Source organism: Homo sapiens, chromosome 14 (assembly GCF_000001405.40).
Source record: "Homo sapiens chromosome 14, GRCh38.p14 Primary Assembly".
Classification (NCBI taxonomy): Eukaryota; Metazoa; Chordata; class Mammalia; order Primates; family Hominidae; genus Homo; species Homo sapiens.
In genome coordinates, this window is record NC_000014.9 from 21,105,377 (window position 1) to 21,125,204 (window position 19,828).

The 19,828-nt window shown below is 41.3% G+C and overlaps 3 pseudogenes, besides 1 other annotated feature; all 3 read right to left on the bottom strand.

The window, feature by feature from the left end:
* CKAP2P1 (cytoskeleton associated protein 2 pseudogene 1) lies at positions 5,536–7,838 on the bottom strand (annotated as a pseudogene).
* Positions 8,263–8,369, bottom strand: RNU6-252P (RNA, U6 small nuclear 252, pseudogene; annotated as a pseudogene).
* On the bottom strand, positions 12,972–19,549 carry LOC112268132 (histone demethylase UTY-like; annotated as a pseudogene).
* Positions 13,614–13,908: a silencer, noted in NCBI's record as "tiled region #11184; K562 Repressive non-DNase unmatched - State 24:Quies". NCBI's record gives its function as "represses a minimal TATA promoter and a strong SV40 promoter by Sharpr-MPRA in K562 cells {active_cell/tissue: K562}" and the evidence as "EXISTENCE:reporter gene assay evidence [ECO:0000049][PMID:27701403]".
* Positions 19,550–19,828: the final 279 nt, after the last annotated feature.

Sequence of the window (19,828 nt, forward strand, 5' to 3'; positions counted from 1 at the left end):
CAACTTAAGGAAGGCCAGAAGGGCAATGCCTGCAAGGAGAGGGGAAGCAGAAATACTTCATTAAAAGAAACATAGTTGGGCGGGCTCGGTGGTTCAGGCCTGTAATCCCAGCACTTTGGGAGACCAAGACGGGTGGATCACCTGAGGTCAGGAGTTCGAGACCAGCTTGACCAACATGGTGGCCGTGTCTATTAAAAATGCAAAAATTAGGCCGGCATGGTGGTGGGTGCCCGTAATCCCAGCTACTCGGGAGTTTGAGGCAGGAGAATTGCTTGAACCCAGGAGGCAGAGGTTGCAGTGAGCCAAGATCGCACCACTGCACTCCAGCCTGGGAGACAAAGCGAGACTCTGTCTCAAAAAGAAAAAAAGAAATGGAATTAATAATTTGTGATGATTTTTGAACAGCTTAGCAGTTGAAATTTATCTGTTCCAGCAGTTATGCCCATACCTACTTCTTTGGTTTGGTTTCATGAACCCCTAAGTTCTTACTAGAAATTTTTCCTCAAAAAAATAATAGGACTGGGACTCAGGAAACCTAGATTCTAATTTTGTTGCTTGGGCAAGTCAAACCTCTCTGAACTACATTTTGTGCACTTGGAGGTTATGGTAATATTTATTCTGTCTACCTTACTGGAGTATCAAGGCTAAAATAAAATCACACAAGGAAAAGTACTTTAAAACTATAAACCACTTCAGGGGTTAAAAATAAATTGCCTGTAGAGGTAAGAAGTAGTTTAAATGATAATTTCTTAAAACTCAAGAGCCAGTTCAGCTATAGTTCTTCAATCATCAGTCTGCATTAGATAAACATAGTAGGAATTCAGGTTTTGGATATATGTTACAGTTCATGTAGACCTTGCAAAGTCCAAGAGTCTTCGATTAAATATTAAATTCTTAAAACCTTTCTGATAAAACCTTTTTCATCATATCCCTCTAGGGCATTGGTTCTCAGAGAAAGGTCATTTCGTTCCCCAGAGGATATTTTGCAAGGTCTGGAGACATATTTGTTAGTCACAACTGAGGAGTGGGGGAGGAGGGAATATGTAACAATGGAAGGCGCAGTAGATGAGAAGTCAGATTTGGGATTTAGTTCCAGTGCTGCTAATGCCGCTTTCCTGTGCATTATCCTCTGCCAGCTGCAAGCAAAGACTATTGGAGACTTGTCCTGTGTTCCTCATTATTCCCCCTCCACACTGCCTATTGCCACAGTCCCGGGCTGCTCCATGACAGCGTTCTGCTTTGCTGCAGTGATTCCCAGCAACCACTGTATCTGCCTCTTTCTTCATCAGTTTGGCAGCCTCTGTGGAGGTCACTCATTTTACTTGAATGGGAACTTCACTGAAAGAAGAAACTGACAAGGTTTCTGCTGACGTCAGTTTTTAAAGGCCGTGACCCCTATCTATTCTTTTAAACATTAAAGAAATCCAGTTCATGATATGTGGCTTCATATGCAGCTGTGGCACATTGGTGGTCGGGAAATTCTCCATGTGAATACATTTTACCCTCATTTCTTTGAAATTCTGTCATTTATTCTGGCTTTTAATACGTGATCATAGACAACTGACAGTATTTCACAAATGAACTCTTTTCCGTTTCTGAATCTGCCTTTTGGCAAGATGGCTCAGGTTTTGTGTCCAGGGCTGTGTCCTCTGCTGCCATCTCGTGGCCTCTTGGCTGCCCAGGTTGAGGTCTCACAAAGTGCCTTTCCTAAGGTAATGGCATTTGGCAGTGGCTTAGTTGGGGAAAGACTCTCCTCTCCATGGTGTGGGGCGCTCCCCAAGTTCCTCCTCTGCAATGGGCCCCTGAGGGCAGCAGCACACTCGGCCTGGCTGGAAACCTGGGCCTCACAATGAGGCAGGAGGCGGAGGGCCCCTCCTGGTCTTCTGCAAACCCTTGGGCCTCTGTGTCTGTTATGCAGTCCTGGCCAGGAGCCACCAAATTCAGTGAACCCAACTACCCAGGGGTAATTGAAGCTGACCGCGCCTGCCTGGCCTGAAGAATGCAGTCTCTTGCCCCTTGCCACCTGGGACTGGGATGCTCTTAATTTCAGTAAGAAATGAAGAGTCTCCCAACAGGTTTCTGGATTCTAGGCCCACACAAAATGGGTCTAGACAAGAAAACAGAAGGGTGTGTTGCTCTGCGTCCACACCCTTCATCCTGGCGGGCCCAGCCAGTGCTGCCTCAAATTTGACATTTGATTAATGGGCTGGCGGGACAGTGGCAGTGGTGTTCTCACTGAGTCACTGTGTTTCCTATAAATATGACAGGATCTATGTACTACAGTGATCAGAGGTCCATCTCCAGGGAACTGGGAATGTGAGATACTGCCCTGACCTGGGCTGCTGCTGCTGGTGACTAAGCAGTGAGCACAGGAGGGAAGGCAGGAAAATGTTTTTAGTTGCTATTTTTTTCATTGTGATAACATGTGTGTATACACACACACACACACACACACACATATGTATATATATATAACTATATATATACCTATATAGTTAAAATCTTCCCATTGCTAACAAATTCATACAACTTTCCCCTAGTTGTTAGCCCCCTCTCCTGACTCCACCCAGCTCCCATAACCCCTAATCCCAGCCTTCTCAAAAAAAAAGGAGGAGGAAGAGAGGAGGAGGGGAAGGAGAAAGGAAAGGAGGAGGAGGTGGAAGAAGAAGAAGACTGCTTTTGGTGTTTGCTTTAACCTGATGTCCCCATTATAATAATTCAGAAGGAAAGGCCTGCTCATATAATTTCCTACGGCCTCAGGCCAGAGACAGCCATACTTACAGGTAAATTGCTACTAGGCTGGCTTCTCCTTAAAATTCAGGTGCCATTTACTATCATCTTCTGTTTCTTTTATGTTTTTCCTTGTTTGCCTATTTTTTTTTCTGACTTATTTCATTTATATTTTGTGTTGCCTACTTTTCTTGGTTCCACTTAGCATCTGAATCTTTGGTTTATTTTTCTTATCAGAAGCTTTTCCTAATTTCTGTCCAGAGTTAATGAATTTTCTTTGTTGATTCTTGACAGTTTTCCCTTGCCATCCATAAAGTTTTCTTGTTTTTACCCAAGTCCAAACTACTAAAATATAATTTTATTTGCTTTGCCTCGTTATATGCTCTCTTTATATATAAAGAAAATGCTATGTGCTCGCTCTTATTCCTTTTTGGAGAGAGGGTCTGGCTCTGTTGCCCCAGGCTGGAGTGCAGTAGCGCGACCTTGGCTCACAACCTCCGCGTCCTGGGCTCAAGCCGTCTTCCCAGTTCAGCCTCCCAAGTAGCTGGGACTACAGATGTATGCCACTACATCTGGTTAATTTTTGTATTTTTTGTAGAGAAGAGGTTTCACCATGTTGCCCAGGCTGGTCTCCAACTCCTGAGCTCAAGCAATCCACCCAACCAAGCCTCCCAAAGTGCTGGAATTATAGGCATGAACCACCGCGCCCGGCCCACTCTTATTCTTTATGTAAAGCTAAAGTCATAGCACAGGAGAAAGAGAATTTATGCTTTTATAAGCCTCAAAGATAATTATGATGAAAAGAAATTGTTCTTTGCGTAACTAAGAAGTGAAACTGGGTCCAGTGGTTACTTGTTATAGAGAGGCCAATTTTAGACTGAAAAATAGAAACTGAACACCTTTCAAAAGATGAAATGCTTTCAAGTTGGGCTCTCAGCCTGTGGATATGTTAGAGCTGTTTTGTGCAATAAGCTTTCTCATGCAATGACAGGTTATTGAAGCAAATATTCAAATATCAGCTGAGTGGTTGAATTAGATGACTTTTAATTTCTCTGCCAACACTCAGATTACATTGGCTTTTCAGCCGTGATGATGTTTTTTAATTGACCCATCCATACTCTCCAATGTCTCGCCCTGGACAAAATTGTAAAATAAGATGCTGGTATTCCTCTAGTCCCTAGAACTGAATGTATCCATCTTGGCACCATTGATATTTGGGCCAGGTAATTCTTTTTTATGGAAGACTGGTGCATTGTAGAATGCTAAGCAGCAACCTTGGGCCCTACCTACTTGATGTCGGTAGCACCCCTCCCTCCAGTTGTGACAACCAAAAATATCTCTACACATTGCCAGATGTCTCCTGGGAAGCAAAATTACTTCTTTCTCTGAAAAACAATGCCTTAGAAGGATATGATAAGAAAGGTTTTAAGAACTTAATGTCTAATTTCTCAAGATCTTTGTATTTAAAAAGACCTGCGAAGATCTACCATAACCAAACAGCACATCCAAAATCTGAATTCCTGCCCTAGCTTTTGCCCCCCACCCCATTTTTCTGAATTTTCTGTGTTGTATTATTGTAACCACATCAGGCCAATCTGGTTCAACTTTTATGTAGCAAAGTTGTAAGTTATTTCTCGGTTGCCATGGACCCCAGGTTGAAAGTCCTGTAACCTGAGCATGCCCAGATGAACACATGTTCTACCACAGGGGAAACCTGAGTACTCAGACCAAGAAGGGTGGGGAGGACTGAATTGAGAAGCAGACACCGCATAGCAGGATCTAGAATCCAATCAGATGAGCTCTGGCATCACCCCATGGCAGGATCCAGTCATATCATGCCTCCTGGCATCATGTCATTGCAAAATGCAATCAGATCACACCTCATTACCCTACGCTTATAAAATCCAACCCAACCCCCAGCTCAGAGAGGCAGGTTTGAGCATTTCTTCCTATCTCCTTGGCAGTTAAATCATGTTGCTTCTCTGCTTAAATGCTTTTCGGTCCTCCCCATTGCCCACAAGCTTAAGTCCAAGCATTTTAAAATGGTGCATGGACTTCTGTGATTTGGCTCCTGCCCACTCTTCGGCGTCATCTCCCATGTCCCCTCTCTTGCACTTCATGATTTGGTGATAGCAGTTTGAGGGAGGTGGCATTGATATTTTTTTTTTCCTTACCAGAGCTTTCTATTTCATCTGTTATTTCAGTCTCAGAGTACATTCAGCATAGTGCTGCATTAGGACAGCATACAAAGGGATCAGTGTCACTTCCCAACTCTGTTAACTCTTCCAATGAAGACACGCAGGGATAATGGTCTTTTAACATACCTGGCAATTTTAAAGTTTTACGCTGACATTGAGAACATCTCACTGGTATTTAAAACTTGAGCTCTTTAAATGTATAATTTGTTTAATCAAATTGCACCTTCTTTTTTACACTTTGCAAGTATGTCATAGTAAATACATTATATTTAATTAAGCAACTTGCCCTAGTTTCTGTATTGGGGATTTTAACATCATTGGTTGGATCTTTTGTTTTGTCATCTTGCTATTTTTCAGAATCTTGAAATAGCACGTTTCCATGATGTCTGTTCTCTTCAGTGCCTGTGGAAGCATACAAAAAATATGATGTCTATTCCCCATTTCTGGTCTTCCTGACTCTGAATTAACAGTTGTATCTTCAGTGTTGACTTCTTGGACTTGTTCCTTGGTTGCACAAGCCTCCTCAATATTTTCTCCAAAACTGACATTTTCTTAACTCTTTATTGGTAGAATATCTACAACTGTGTGTCACATCTCTTCAATAGGTTGAGCCCCTGCCAGAATGGCCTTCTCATAGATTGCGAGAATACTTTCAATAGGACTTGGGGTTGGTTCAGTATGTGCAAGACATATTCAATATTTTACAAGATTTTTGGCATCTGGAATATTTTTAATCAGATCGTTCAGTGTGACCAGTATTTCTTCTTCTGCGCGTCCTTCATTAATTAGGTTTAGGCATTCAGAAAATGTGTCGCTTACCTTTTCAGTAAATAATTTTTGTTCATCTTCTGCCATGGTAGTCCAAAAGGACCCAACTGGTTTTTCATTTTGTTCTTAAGGTTCATACTAGGTAACTATTCAGTTAGGAGGCCTTTTCAGCACTCTTTCTTTGCCAGCTTTCCACTCATTCAGATGAGCTTTTCTCTCTTCTGAGTTTTCTTTGGATTGAGTTGATCTACTATCAGCAGTTGGTTTTGCTATAGTATATCTTCACTGGTCAATAGGTTTTGATTTTTCTATCAGTTTGGCATTAGAAGATGAAGCACAAGTGGGAGCGGTGGCTCACACCTGTAATCCCAGGACTTTGGGAGGCTGAGGTAGGAGGATCCCTTGAGACCAGGAGTTCAAGACCAGCCCGGCCAATATAATGAGACCCTGTCTGTAAAAAAATAGTTGTTGTTTTTTTTTTGAGATGGAGTTTCACTCTTGTTGCCCAGTCTGGAGTGCAATGGCGCAATCTCAGCTCACGGCAACTTCCGCCTCCCAGATTTAAGCAATTCTCCTGCCTCAGCTTCCCAAGTAGCTGGGATTTCAGGCTCCTGACACCATGCCTGGCTAATTTTTGTATTTTTAGTAGAGATGGGGTTTCGTCATGTTGGCCAAGCTGGTCCCGAACTCCTGACCTCAGATGATCCGCCCACCTCGGCCTCCCAAAGTGCTTGGATTATAGGTGTGAGCCACCGTGCCTGGCTTAAAAAATAATTTTTTAAAACAGTAAGATGAAGCAGGCCTGGCTACGATTTCACATGCTATTTTCCTTTTTCTTTTTTCCTTTTTAAAACTTTCTTTATTTTGGCAACCACTTGTCCAAAAGATCAGATGCACAATCTTCTTGATTGTGCCTTATCTCTTTTCTATGTCCTGAGAGGAACTGGTTTTGACCCTAGATAAAACTGTTTTTGATTGTAATAATTCTTTTCTATGAGACCTTTTCCTGATTGTAAACAAGGCTGAGATTCTACCGATGCCTTCTTTCACAGTGTCCTGGGTATTATTGGATGACTTCTAATAAGAGATCACACAAACTTAGCACTACATTTGGTGTACCCCAAGTTACATTTAGTGTAACCCAGGGTCCTTGCACACACTGTGAACAAGTACACACTGTTGCACCTTGAGTTTTTGTTGTTTCAAAAAGTTCCAGGAAGAAGCAAAACAAAACCCATTCGATCCAGAGATGCCCTCTGAATTGGAGATGAATTTGGCAAACTCCCCACATTACCATACAAAAAGTTCCACCCAAGGAGGAGTATTTTTGCCACTTTCTATACATGTGATATATGAAGAAGCATGATTGATGACTGTACTCCACCTCTACATACGATGACTCAGCTAAGCAGCCCAATACAAGCCCTGTTTTTAGCTTTATTCCGAGAGGAACTGCTTTGGGAATTATCCCCAGTATTCTCCTTCTTTGTTGCAAGTAATGAAATCCCCTTGTTAAATTTTCCTTGGTTGTGGTCATTGGACTGTCACTGGCCAAGCGACCAGCTCACCCATTGTGTGGTAACAGTAGCAGTTATATTTGAGACTCTATTACTCTTCACTGTTACGCTGCTGGTGTTTATAAGCTGAGGCTCTGTTGCTTTAGGAATAGTAATTGAAAATTTCTTTGTTGCTGCAGAACTCTCATCTTTGACTTGTAGAGGTTTTCTAAATGAATTAAACTTAGACTGAACAATTTGGCCTCAATAAGATTCTATCACAGACTTCTTGGGTGTGTCAGCCTCTTGCTTTTGTTTTTCTGCAACAATTTGTTTCTGTTTACTATTATTGTTAGGGTGAAATGTCTTACATTAATGTCATATGTTGACATTGGGGGTCATCTTCAGTTGGTAACAACTTCAGGGTTTGATTATTATCCTCAAATTTATGTGTGACAATTACTATAGTTGAATTGGTCAGTTCATTAGAAGGTTTTAAAGGAATACAATTTTTACCACCATTGTATTATTTTTGCTTCTCATGAGTCTGTTGACATTTTCTTTACCAGCCATTTCTCACTGAAGTTTCAAAATATTTCTCTCTTCTTGGAACTGGTCCTCAAATGTCACCACTCTCTGGCCTCTATTGAGGTTACATAGCTATGGTAGCCAACTTACAGATTCCAGCCCAGGTCCTTATCATTCTCAGATGCAAAAAGCCTGGACACTATCTGATTTTCCTGTTTGTATCAAAAAATGTTTTTCTTCTTAACAGATGTTTCTTGAGTCTTTGTCTTATTCGCTCTTTGAACATGAATTGGGCCTTGGAGGCCACTGCAGGTCTTGGGACATGGCTTGGGTATTTGTCACAGCCTAAGGTGAGGGGATGCATCTCCAGCTTTGACTGCAGATGTAGGACTCCTTCAGGCCACAACCAGTGAACACCGCCTAATTTTTTTTCTTGTGTAGTGAAAATCACAATTCAATATTGGGTTCCACCCATTTTGCTTTGACTCACACTGTTTCCTTAGTGCTACTCAGCAATTAGTGAAATGGTCTCTGGTACTGCACAAAATATGAAATGCTTCAAGAATTTGCATGTCATCCTTGCTCACAGGCCCTGCTAATATTCTCTGTATTGTTTCAATGTTAGTATATGTGCTACTGAAGCAAGCACTAAATTATTAATTAATATGTATGACAGACTCCTCCATCTCATCCTTGCAATTCATACTCTCCCTCTCCCTCCTTTTTTTTTTTTTTTTTTTTTGGTTCGTTTTGATTATCCCAAGGATGATGATGATGACAACACTGACTCAGTGATGGGCTGGGTGAGGGTCAGGGCTGTTTGTTGCACACATTAGTGAGATGTCAATAAAAAAACTGTTCCCGGACCAAACTGAGGGTCGGGCTGCTATTTCTCCGGGACTGATAATGAGATGCAGAAGAACTGAGGAGGAAGAGAGTTGTTTGTTTGTTTGTTTGTTTGTTTGTTTGTTGGTTGGTTGGTTTTTTGAGACAGAGTCTTAGTCTGTCACCCAGGCTGGAGTGCAATGGCATGATCTTGGCTCACTGCAACCTCCGCCTCCCAGGTTCAAGCAATTCTCCCGCCTCAGCCTCCCGAGTAGCTAGGATTACAGGTGCCCACCACACCCAGCCAATTTTTTTTTTGTATTTTTAATAGAGACAGAGTTTCACCATGTTGGCCAGGCTGGTCTTGAACTCCTGACCTCAGGTGATCCACCCACTTAGGCCTCCCAAAGTGCTGGGATTACAGGCGTGAGCCACCCTGCCTGGCCAGTGGAAGAGAGTTTTATTTCTGTAACCAGTTACAGGGAGAAGGCCTGGAAATTATTGCCAGACCAACTCAAAATTATAGAGTTTTCCAGAGCTTGTATACCTTCTAAGCTATATGTCTATATGTAAGTGTGCATTTGTCTAAAGACACAAGTGATTTACTTCTTTTAATCTATAACTAAAGTCTAAGTCCTGAAGACTTTTCCTCTGAAGCCTCAGTAAATTAGATTACTTAATCTAAATGGGTCCAGGTCTTGGGGTGATTACCCTTATCTTGTCTCCTGCTAAATCACGGAGGTTTGGGGAGTTCTTTCAGACCTCCAAAAAACTTGTTTGTAGAGGCCTGGGGAGTTTCTTCAGACCCCCAGTGAAACTTCTTTAATCCTAAATGGGTCCTGTTAAGAATTCCTTCGTTATTTTGTCATGCTTTAAGGCCCAGGAAAGGCCTAGGCAAAACTCTTGATGGGCTTTTGTTACATTCCAGCCTTTGTATAAGTGCACTGGCTTTTTTTAGTTTATAATATTTAACTAAACCAATCAGTCAGTATTGAAACAGTTGTGATGGAGGCCTGCATTAGTGAGACCTGGCCTGCCACAAACAAAACCACTAGCGGGAAGTCAAAGTCATATGATGTCAAAATAACTGAGTCAAAAATTCTTACTTTAGCATATATATTTCTTACTTCCATGCCTTATTTAGGCTGTTGTATCCAGTCCTAGCCCCACACCTGTCCTTCAGGACTCCCTCTGCTCAGTACTCACCCACTTTGGGAAGCTTCCCTTGGCCTCTGCGGCCATCATCATGATTGTGGTCTTCAATGCTCTCTTAGTACTCTATACACAGGCTATACTTAAAAAAAAAAATTATTTTTCTGTTGCCCAGGCTGGAGTGCAGTGGCATGATCTCAGCTCACTGCGACCTCTGCCTCCCAGGTTCAAACAATTCTCTTGCCTCAGCCTTCCAAGTAGCTGGGATTATGGGTGCATGCCACCACGCTTGGCTAATTTTTGTATTTTTAGTAGAGACAGGGTTTCACCATGTTGGCCAGGCTGGCCTCGAACTCCTGACCTCAGGTGATCCTCGGCCTCCCAAAGTGCTGGGATTACAGGTGGGAGCCACCACGCCCAGCAAAAATTTTAAACTTTTTATGCAAAAAAAAAAAAGAAATCACAATAATGGTAAAGTTCAAATGAAAAGTTGAGGAAGGAGGGATGACAGAGAATAACATATAGCTAAAAGATTGTTAGTATTAATATTGAAAAGAATAAAACATTGATAAAGACAAAATAGCCAATTTACAAAAAAGAAAGAAATTTAAATGGCCAATAAATCTATGAAGGATTATTTGTATTCATAGTAGTTAAATAAATGCAATTTAAAGCAATAAGATGCTGACCAGGTGCAGGTGTCATGCACATATAGTCCCAGCTACTCAGGATTCTGAGGAGGCAGAATGGCTTGAGCCCAGGAGTTTGAGGCCAGCCTGGGCAACATGGTGAGACTCTGTCTCTAAAAAATAAAAATAGGCTGGCAAGGAGATTCATGCCTATAATCCCAGTAATTTGGGAGGCCAAGGCGGGAGGACTGCTCGAGGCCAGGAGTTCTAGACCAACCTAGGCAACACAGTGAGACCCCATCTCTACAGATAAAAAATTAGATGAGATAGTGGCACACACCTGTAGTCCCAGCTACTCAGGAGGCAGAGGATTCCCTGAGTCCTTGAGCTGCAGTGAGCCATGATCTTGCCAGTATACTCCATGGCTTGGGGGATACAGTGAAACTCCATCTCCAAAAAAATAAAAAGAAAAAGAATTCAATCAATAAGGTGCCATTTTATGCCAATCAGATAATTAACATTTTCAAATGCATAAAACCCATTGTTGATGATTATGCAAGGAAATAGGCACTTTCTTATATTTCTGGTAGGACTATAAATTGGTATAACTTTAATGGAAAGCAATTTAATGACTTGTATCTACAAATTAAGAGTTGCCTACTTTGGCCCAGCCATTCTGCTTCTAAGAATTTTTCTCAGGAATAGAGTGCAGGGAGTACTTAATCCGGCGCCTGACAGGCAGGTTTGTTTCCTCCTTTAGGACTGGAGGCTGCCACCACTGACATGTTCCACCAGATTCTTGTTGGGCTCAAGAAGCATTCAAGCTTCATCCCCCTTCGTATTTATGAAATCCGGAGGTACTGGAGCAGCGCTGTATGTCCAGCATCTGGCATTGTTCAATCAAGATGTTAGCTGGGACAGAAGACATAAGTCAGAACGCTGGAAGAAACTGGGTCCCAATATTATAATAATCAATAAAGACAAAATATATTTATAGTTTATTTTATTTGTATTTTATCAATAAAGACAAAATTATATTGCATTATAATAATCTATATACATCACTTTGATGTGTTGGGAATGACACTGATTATATCTGAAACTTGGGAGAAAAAAAAAACTTTTCCCAGGAATAACCTTGGACATGTGCAAAGAGTTACTTACTGAAATGTACATTACAAGATTAATTTTAAAAGCTTAAAAGGCAAACAGTCTAGATATCCAACAGTAAAGTAACTGACTTTTTGTTTGTTTGTTTTGTTTTGCTTTTTTGAGAAAGGGTCTCACTCTGTCACTCAGGCTGGAGTGCAGTGGCACCATCCTGGCTCACTGACCTCAAGCGATCCACCTGCCTTGGCCTCCCAAAGTGCTGGGATTACAGGCATGAGCCACCACACCCAGCCTGTAGTATATTTTTAAGTGAAAAGCATACTGCATTCAATTTTTAAATTGGCAAATGACTTGAATAGACATTTCTCCAAAGAAGATATACAAATTGCCAACAAGGACATGGTAATGATGTTGAGTAGGGAATGGAATTCAAAACTACAGTGAGATACCACTTCACCACTTCACATCCACTAGAAGAGCTATTTAAAAATGGAAAATAGGCCAGCATGGTGGCTCACGCATTTAATACCAACACTTTGGGAGGCCAAGGTGAGAGGACTGCTTGAGCCTAGGAGTTCAAAACCAGCCTGGGTAACATGGTGAGACCTCCATCTCTATAAAAATGTATTTAAAATTAGCTGGGCATGGTGGCATGTGCCTGTAGTCCCAGCTACTCAGGAGGCTGAGGTTGGAGGAGCCCTTGAGCCTGGGAGGTCAAGGCTGCAATGAACCATGATCACACCACTGCACTCCAGCCTGGGCAACAGAGATCCCGTCTCAATAAAAAAGGAAAATAACAAGTATTGACAAGGATGTGGAAAAATTGGCACTCTCATATATTGCTGGTAGAAATGTAGAATGCTGCAATCACTGTGGAAAATAGTTTGGTGGCTCTTCAATAGGTTAAGCACAGAATTACCATATGACCAGCAATTCCATTCATGGGTATATATCAAATGGGTGCTCAATTGCATATGAATGTTCATAGCAGCACTATTCACAATAGCAAAGAGTGGAAACGACTCAAATATCCATCAACTGATGAATGGATCAGCAAAATGTGATATATATCCATATGATGAAATGACATATTTATTATTTAACCATGCTACAGCATATAGGAACCTATGTAATATTATGCTCAGTGCAAAAAGCAGACACAAAAAGCCACATATTGTATGATTTCATTTATATGAAATATCCAAAATAGACAAATCCATGGAAATGGAAGAGCCTATTAGGGTTAGCAGGAGCTGGGGAAAGGAGAGAGTGGGGAATGAATGCTTGCAATGGTTATGGAATTTTAAAATGATGAAGATTTTATTGAACTACTGTAGATGATGGTGATGTTGCACAACACCGTGAATGTACTAAATGCCACACTGAATAGTGCACTTTAAAATGATAAAATGGTGGATTTTATATCATGTGAATTTTATCACAGGAAAAAAAAAGCATCTTACAAAACAGTAGAGGGCCAGGCACGGTGGCTCACGCCTGCAATCCCAGTGCTTTGGGAGGCCAACGTGGGCAGATCACTTGAGGCCAGGAGTTCGAAACCAGCCTGGCCAAGCTGGTGAAACCCCGTCTCTACCCAAAATACAAAAATTAGCCGGGCATGGTGGCGTGCACCTGTAATCCCAGATACTTGGGAGGCTAAGGCAGGAGACTCGCTTGAACCTGGGAGGCAGAGATTGGAGTGAGCCGAGATTGTGCCACTGCACTCCAGCCTGGGCAACAGAGTGAGACCCTGTCTCAAAACAAAAACAAAACAAAACAAAACAAAACAAAAAACCCACAGTAGAAATGATTGGTCTTGTTTTTCTAGAAGTATATGCACAGAAAAAAAAGGTGTGGAAAGATAAATATCAAATTCCTCTAGTTGTCCCTGGGTGGTCATTTAGAACTAATGTTCTAATTTTTCTACAGCAATCCTAGATTACTCGAGTCCTTCTAAAACATGCTGTAGAATATCTAATGAAACAGGGGAAGTGGCCATCATATATTTGTATATTATTAAACCAAAACACTATATTTGGGTGATCTCAATTTTATTGCAAAAATACACATTGCATAGAAAAAAAACTACTGAAAGAATATATGCCAATATGTTATTAGTGGTTATGTTTCAATGGAGTGATCATAAGTGAATTTTATTTACTTTTTTAAAAATATATTTTCAAAATGTCTCTAGTGAATATATGTTACTTTCTTTTTTTGTTTCATTTTAATTTTTATATTTTCTTTTATTTGTGTGTATGTAACAAGGGATCACTCTGTCACCCAGGCTCTGGAGTTCAGTGGCGCAATCACAGCTCACTGCAGCCTTGACCTCTGGGCTCAGGTGATTCTCCCACCTCAGTCTCTTGGGTAGCTGGGACAACATGCGCAACCCACCATGCCCAGTAATTTTTTGTATTTTTAGTAGAGATGGGATTTCACCATGTTGCTCAGTCTGGTCTCGAACTCCTGGACTCAAGCAAGCCACCCACCTTGGCCTCCCTAAGTGCTGGGATTATAGGCATGAGCCACTGCACCCGGCCATATATTGCTTTCATAATCTGAATTTTAAATATTTTTAAAAAGATTCTCTTACATATATTGAGCTCAATATTACCAATATATTGAGTCAAAAATTCTCTTTTCTTTCCTTTTGTTTTTTGAGACGGAGTCTCACTCTGTCACCCAGGCTGGAGTGCAGTGGCATGATCTTGGCTCACTGCAACCTCCACCTCCCAGGTTCATGCAAACCTCCTGCCTCAGCCTCCCAAGTAACTGGGATTACAGGTGTGCACCACTGCACCTGGCTAATTTTTGTATTTTTAGTAGAGACGGGTTTTCAACATGTTGGCCAGGCTGGTATTGAACTCCTGACCTCAAGTGATCCATCTCTCTCTGCCTCCCAAAGTGTTGGGATTACAGGCATGAGCCATGGTGCCTAGCCCCCAACATTCTTCTTACTGGTTAAATGAAACCTTTAGTTGGGGGAAAATTGAAAGAGTTTTAAAGATAAATAACATCAAACAATTTAGAAACTATCAAAATGAAGGAGGAAGAGTGAGGAGGAGGATGTTCAGAGAGACCAGTAAACATGTGCTTAGACATTTTTTAAAAATCTGAGCTGGGAATATGGCTCACACCTGTAATCTCAGCTACTTGGGAGGCTGAGGCAGGAGGATCCCTTGAGGCGAGTAGTTCAAGACCAGCCTGGGCAACATAGTAAGAACTCCTCCCCCTGCCAACATCTCTAAAAAATAAAGAAAACAAATGCTGACCAGGTGCGGTGTCATCCATATTTAGTCCCAGCTACACAGGAGTCTGAGGAGAGAGGATCACTTGAGCCCAGGAGTTTGAGGCCAGCCTGGGCAACATGGTGAGACTCTGCGTCTAAAAAATAAAAATAGGGCCGGGCGCGGTGGCTCACGGCTGTAATCCTAGCACTTTGTGAGGCCGAGGCAGGCAGATAACCTGAGGTTAGGAGTTCGAGACCAGCCTGACCAACATGGAGAAACCCCGTCTCTACTAAAAATACAAAATTAGCCAGGCATGGTGGCACATGCCTGTAATCCCAGCTACTCGGGAGGCTGAAGCAGGAGAATCGCTTGAACCTGGGAGGTGGAGGTTGCGGTGAGCCGAGATTGTGCCATTGCACTCCAGCCTGGGCAATAAGAGCAAAACTCCGTCTCAAAAAATTAATTAATTAAATAAAAATAAAAATAGGCCAGGCATGGTGGTTGAAAGGGCAGGGGAAAAAAGAAATTTTTAAAACACCTCTTGCATAGTTGTCTAGCAGAGTCAAATATGTGATTATTGTAGGAGAGAAGTTCCTTTTGCTTTAAAGACAGGGTCACCCTTTGTCACCCAGGCTGGAGTCCAGTGGTCCAATCGTAGTTCACTGCAGCCTTGAACTCCTGGCCTCAAGAGTTCCTCTTGCCTCGATCCTCCCACTTAAACCTCCCAAGTAGCTGATTCTACAGGTACCAGCCACCATGCCTAGCTGAGGAATATCTTTCAAAAAGGGAAGAGAATGAGGACACCACAAAATTATATTAGAAGATACAGACTAAAAGTTGCTTTTGCAATAAAGTTGCTTTTGCAACACACAGAGCCAGAGAGTTTAAAAATAACTCAGAAAAGGAGTAAGAGAACTGTTGTCCAAATTTGTGGCCTCTGATTCTGGCTGGCCACTGGGTTGCAGGACTAACGGGCTGCAAGTGTGGTTTGTGTTCACGAAAACGCCTTCGGAAAGGGTCTGGGGTAATAATAGTTATGCACAATCATGTAGTATCTATAATGATAATAATAAAGATACTCATATTGTTAATAACAATACTTACATAGACCTTTGTCATGCTTAGTATTAACATATATTTGGCACTGTCCTAAGCATTTTAGTGTTTTAATTCATTTAGTCCTCACAGTACCCCTAAGAAGCAAGCACTGTTATGATCTCTGTTTTACACATAAGAAAAATGAAGCACAGGAAGGCTGAGTAATGTCTCAGATTACTAATGTCACATAACTAGTAAGCGACAGAGCCAATTTGTAACCAGGTGATTTTACTCTGGAATTCATGCTCTTAACCACTATATTTTATACTGCCTCTGCAGCCAAAATATCCCCTCAGGCAGTAGTTCACAAAGTGTAGTATAGTCCTTCCAAGAAGTCTAGGAGGTCAAAAGTATTTTCATAATAATGCCAAGATTTTTTTTTTCTTTTTTTCTTTTTTCTTTCTTTCTTTCTTTTTTTTTTTTTTTTGACACAATCTCGCTCTGTTGCTCAGGCTGGAGTGCAGTGGTGCGATCTCAGCTCAGTGCCATCTCCACCTCCTGGATTCAAGCGATTCTCATGGCTCAGCCTCCTGAGCAGCTGGGACTACAGGCATGCACCACCACGCCCAGCTAATTTTTGTATTTTTTTGGTAAAGATGGGATTTTGCCATGTTGGCCAGGTTGGTCTCGAGCTCCTGGCCTCAAGTGATCTGCCTGCCTCGGTCTCCCGAAGTCCTGGGATTACAAGTGTGAGCCATGGTGCCCTACCTAATACCACATTTTTTTGTTTGTTTTGTTTCGTTTTGTTTTACCTATTTTACTTTCATTCTGAGTATGCAGAGGAGTTTTCCAGAGGCTACAAGACATGTGATAACATCATCACTCTAATGGCTAATAGAAAATGTGCTTGTATAGTCTTGTATTTTCTAGAAGTTTCTATGTAAACTCTTTGGGGTCCTGAAACCACAAAGTTTGAGAACCATTGCCCTAAGGTAAAGGCAATATGGTTTCTCAAGAGATAATCTATACCAATTGCCAGAATTCATCCATTCATTCAGTCAGTCAGTCAATATATAACTATCAAGCACTACATTCTAGGCACTGTGCTAAGTGTGGGGATTACAGTGGTGAGAAAGAGTGGTATGGTCCCTAGACTTATATAGTTTAGTGCAATGGTCCTAAAACATTAGAGTGCAGAGGAATCACTTGGTAAGTTAATTAGAAATGCAAATTCTGGAGCTCCAGCCCAGAGATGTTGAGATCTTTAGTTGATCCTGAAGCAAAAGAACCTACATTGAAAAACATTGTTCTAGTGGTTGTTTAGCCTGAAGAGAAAACCTGGTGAAATGAAAATGATCACCATATATAAAGACCTATGTGACTCCAGAGAGCAGAATAGCTACCAATAGGTAGAACCTAACCTGAAGAGAGGTTTCTGTCCAATATTAGGAATGGTCACTCAGCTGAGGCAGTGGGCTCCCAACCAACTGCAAATTTTGAGTCCACTAGAGAGCCATCCCAAAGACATTGTCATAAGGATTCCCACATTGGAAGTGACATTTTTCCATATGACCTCTAAGCATAAGGGAATTATAACAAGAATCAAGAGGGATTGATGAATACTGTGACTTAAGAAATAAACCCTCAGAATCTCCAAAGTGATAAGTGTCTTTTGTGTTCTAAGGAGATAACTGATGGCTGGGGGCTGGACAGCCTTAGGATAGGGGCTGGATACCGGGGAACCAACCATGTAATTAGAGGGTTGGAACTTTCAGCCAGTGCTTCTGCCACTACCATAAGGAGAGAAGAGCTGAAGTTTGTGTTGATCACCAATGGCCAATGAATCAATCATGCCTATATAATAAAGCCTTCATAAAATCCCAAAAGAACGGTGTTTGGAGTGCTTCACGGTTGCTGAACACCGAAGGGTGGGGTGCCCCCAGGGGACAAGGAGCTTCCATGCGTCTTTCCCCATACCTTGCCCTATGTACTTCTTCATCTGGCTGTTCATCTGTATACTTTGTAATACTCTTGCCAATAAATCAGTAAACATTAAGTAAGTGTTTCCCCGATTCTGGGAGCTGCTCTAACAAATTATCAAACCGGAGATGGGGTCAAGGGAACCTCCAATTTATAGCTAGTTGGTCAGAAATTCCAAAGATCCAGACTTGCCACTGGCATCTGAAGTCTGTGGGACTGAGCCCTTAATTTGTGAGATCTCACCCTAACCCCAGGTAGATAGTGTCAGGACTGAATTAAATTGTAAGACACCCAGTTGATGTCAAAGAATTGGTTGGTATGAGAGAGAAGCTCACATATGTTGTTCCACAAGTGTTATGTTGACAGCATAGTAGGAAAAAACAATTTGTCTTTTTCCTATTACACAAAAGATGTAACTGATTTAATGCACTGTTTAAACCATTCCTTTTCCCCAACAAACTGTGTCAAATCAAATGATAACACAAATTCTAAAGTGAACACACAGGCTAGAACAGGCTATAAGAGCTGGCCAAAGTTCAAGGACTTTGAGGGTGAGAGAATGAGGACTTTGAAAATGAGAAAAAAGTGGAACAGCTTCCCAGACTTTCCCATGTTACTCATGGAATGGCACCTAAAGTTCAGTGACTTCATTAGTAAGGGCAGAGAACAGCAGATCTTTCTTCTTTTGGGGACCTCGGGAGAGAGTGTTTATCAGACTTAGTCACTACAACTAACAACACCTGCATTCTAGGTTCATATATTGTTTCTGTGCCATAGAAATTCAAAGTAGTTATGAAACACATACGAAGCATCTTATATAACTTGGCTAGTTCTCAGTTTTGTTTCTTGCTGAGCTATTCGGCCTAGTCAAGATTTCAGTACAGAAAATTTAGCCATGGCCTACATACTTTAGGGGGTCTACACGCATGAACATTAACCCTTGGAAGCAAACACTATTATCTCCATTTTAGGAATGACTATAATTAATTTTATAAGTCACTTTATATTTCACTGGGAAAATAGAAGAATCCAACTGAAAACTGATTCATCTTCCCTTACCAAAGCTATCAAACTACTTGGATCTGTAGCCTGCCTACCTTCTCACCTATTACAGTAGATAAATTTTTCTCACTACTATCAAAGACCAATCCCCCCATCTGTATACTAAACTCCAATCTCTCTTCTTTATTCACAGATTTTGCTCCTCTGATTATACCCTCTCTGTTCTGCATCATCAAGCTCTTCCTCTGTAGGATTATTCCTATTATTCTAAAAATATGTTATAGTATCTCCCATCTTTATAAAAAAGGTTGTTTTAGCTGAAGGATTTCATCACCACCAGATGTGTCTTACAACAAATGCTAAAAAGAGTTATTTAAGCTGAAAGAAAAGGATGCAAATTAGTAACACAAAAACATATTAAAGTATAAAACTCACTGATAAAAGTAAGTACAGAGTCAAATTCATAATACTCTAATACTGTAATTTTGGTATATAAGTCACTTATATCTTTAGTATGAAGGCTAAAACACAAAACTATTAAAAACAATAATAGCTGATTAATTCATTAAGGGATATTCAATATAAAAAGATGTAAATTGTGGCCGGGCATGGTGGCTCACGCCTGTAATCCCAGCACTTTGGGAGGCCAAGGAGGGTGGATCACGAGGTCAGGAGATCGAGACCATCCTGGCTAACATGGTGAAACCCTGTCTCTACTAAAAATACAAAAAATTAGCCAGGTGTGGTGGCAGGCGCCTGTGGTCCCAGCTACTTGGGAAGCTGAGGCAGGAGAATGGCGTGAACCCAGGAGGCAGAGCTTGCAGTGAGCAGAGATCATGCCACTGCACTCCAGCCTGGGTGACAGAGGGAGACTCCGTCTCAAAAAAAAAAAAAGAAAAAAAGATGTAAATTGTGTCATCAAAAATTCAAAATGAGAAAGTGGAGTAAAAGTGTAGAGTTATTTTTGTAATCAAGGTTAAGTTATTATCAGCTTAAAATAGCCTGTTATAACTATTAGGTATTTTTATAAGCCTCATGGTAACCACAAGGCAAAAACCTATAGTAGATACACACACAAAATAAAGAGTAAAAAATCAAAACATACCACTACAGAAATCTCTTAAACACAAAGGAAAATA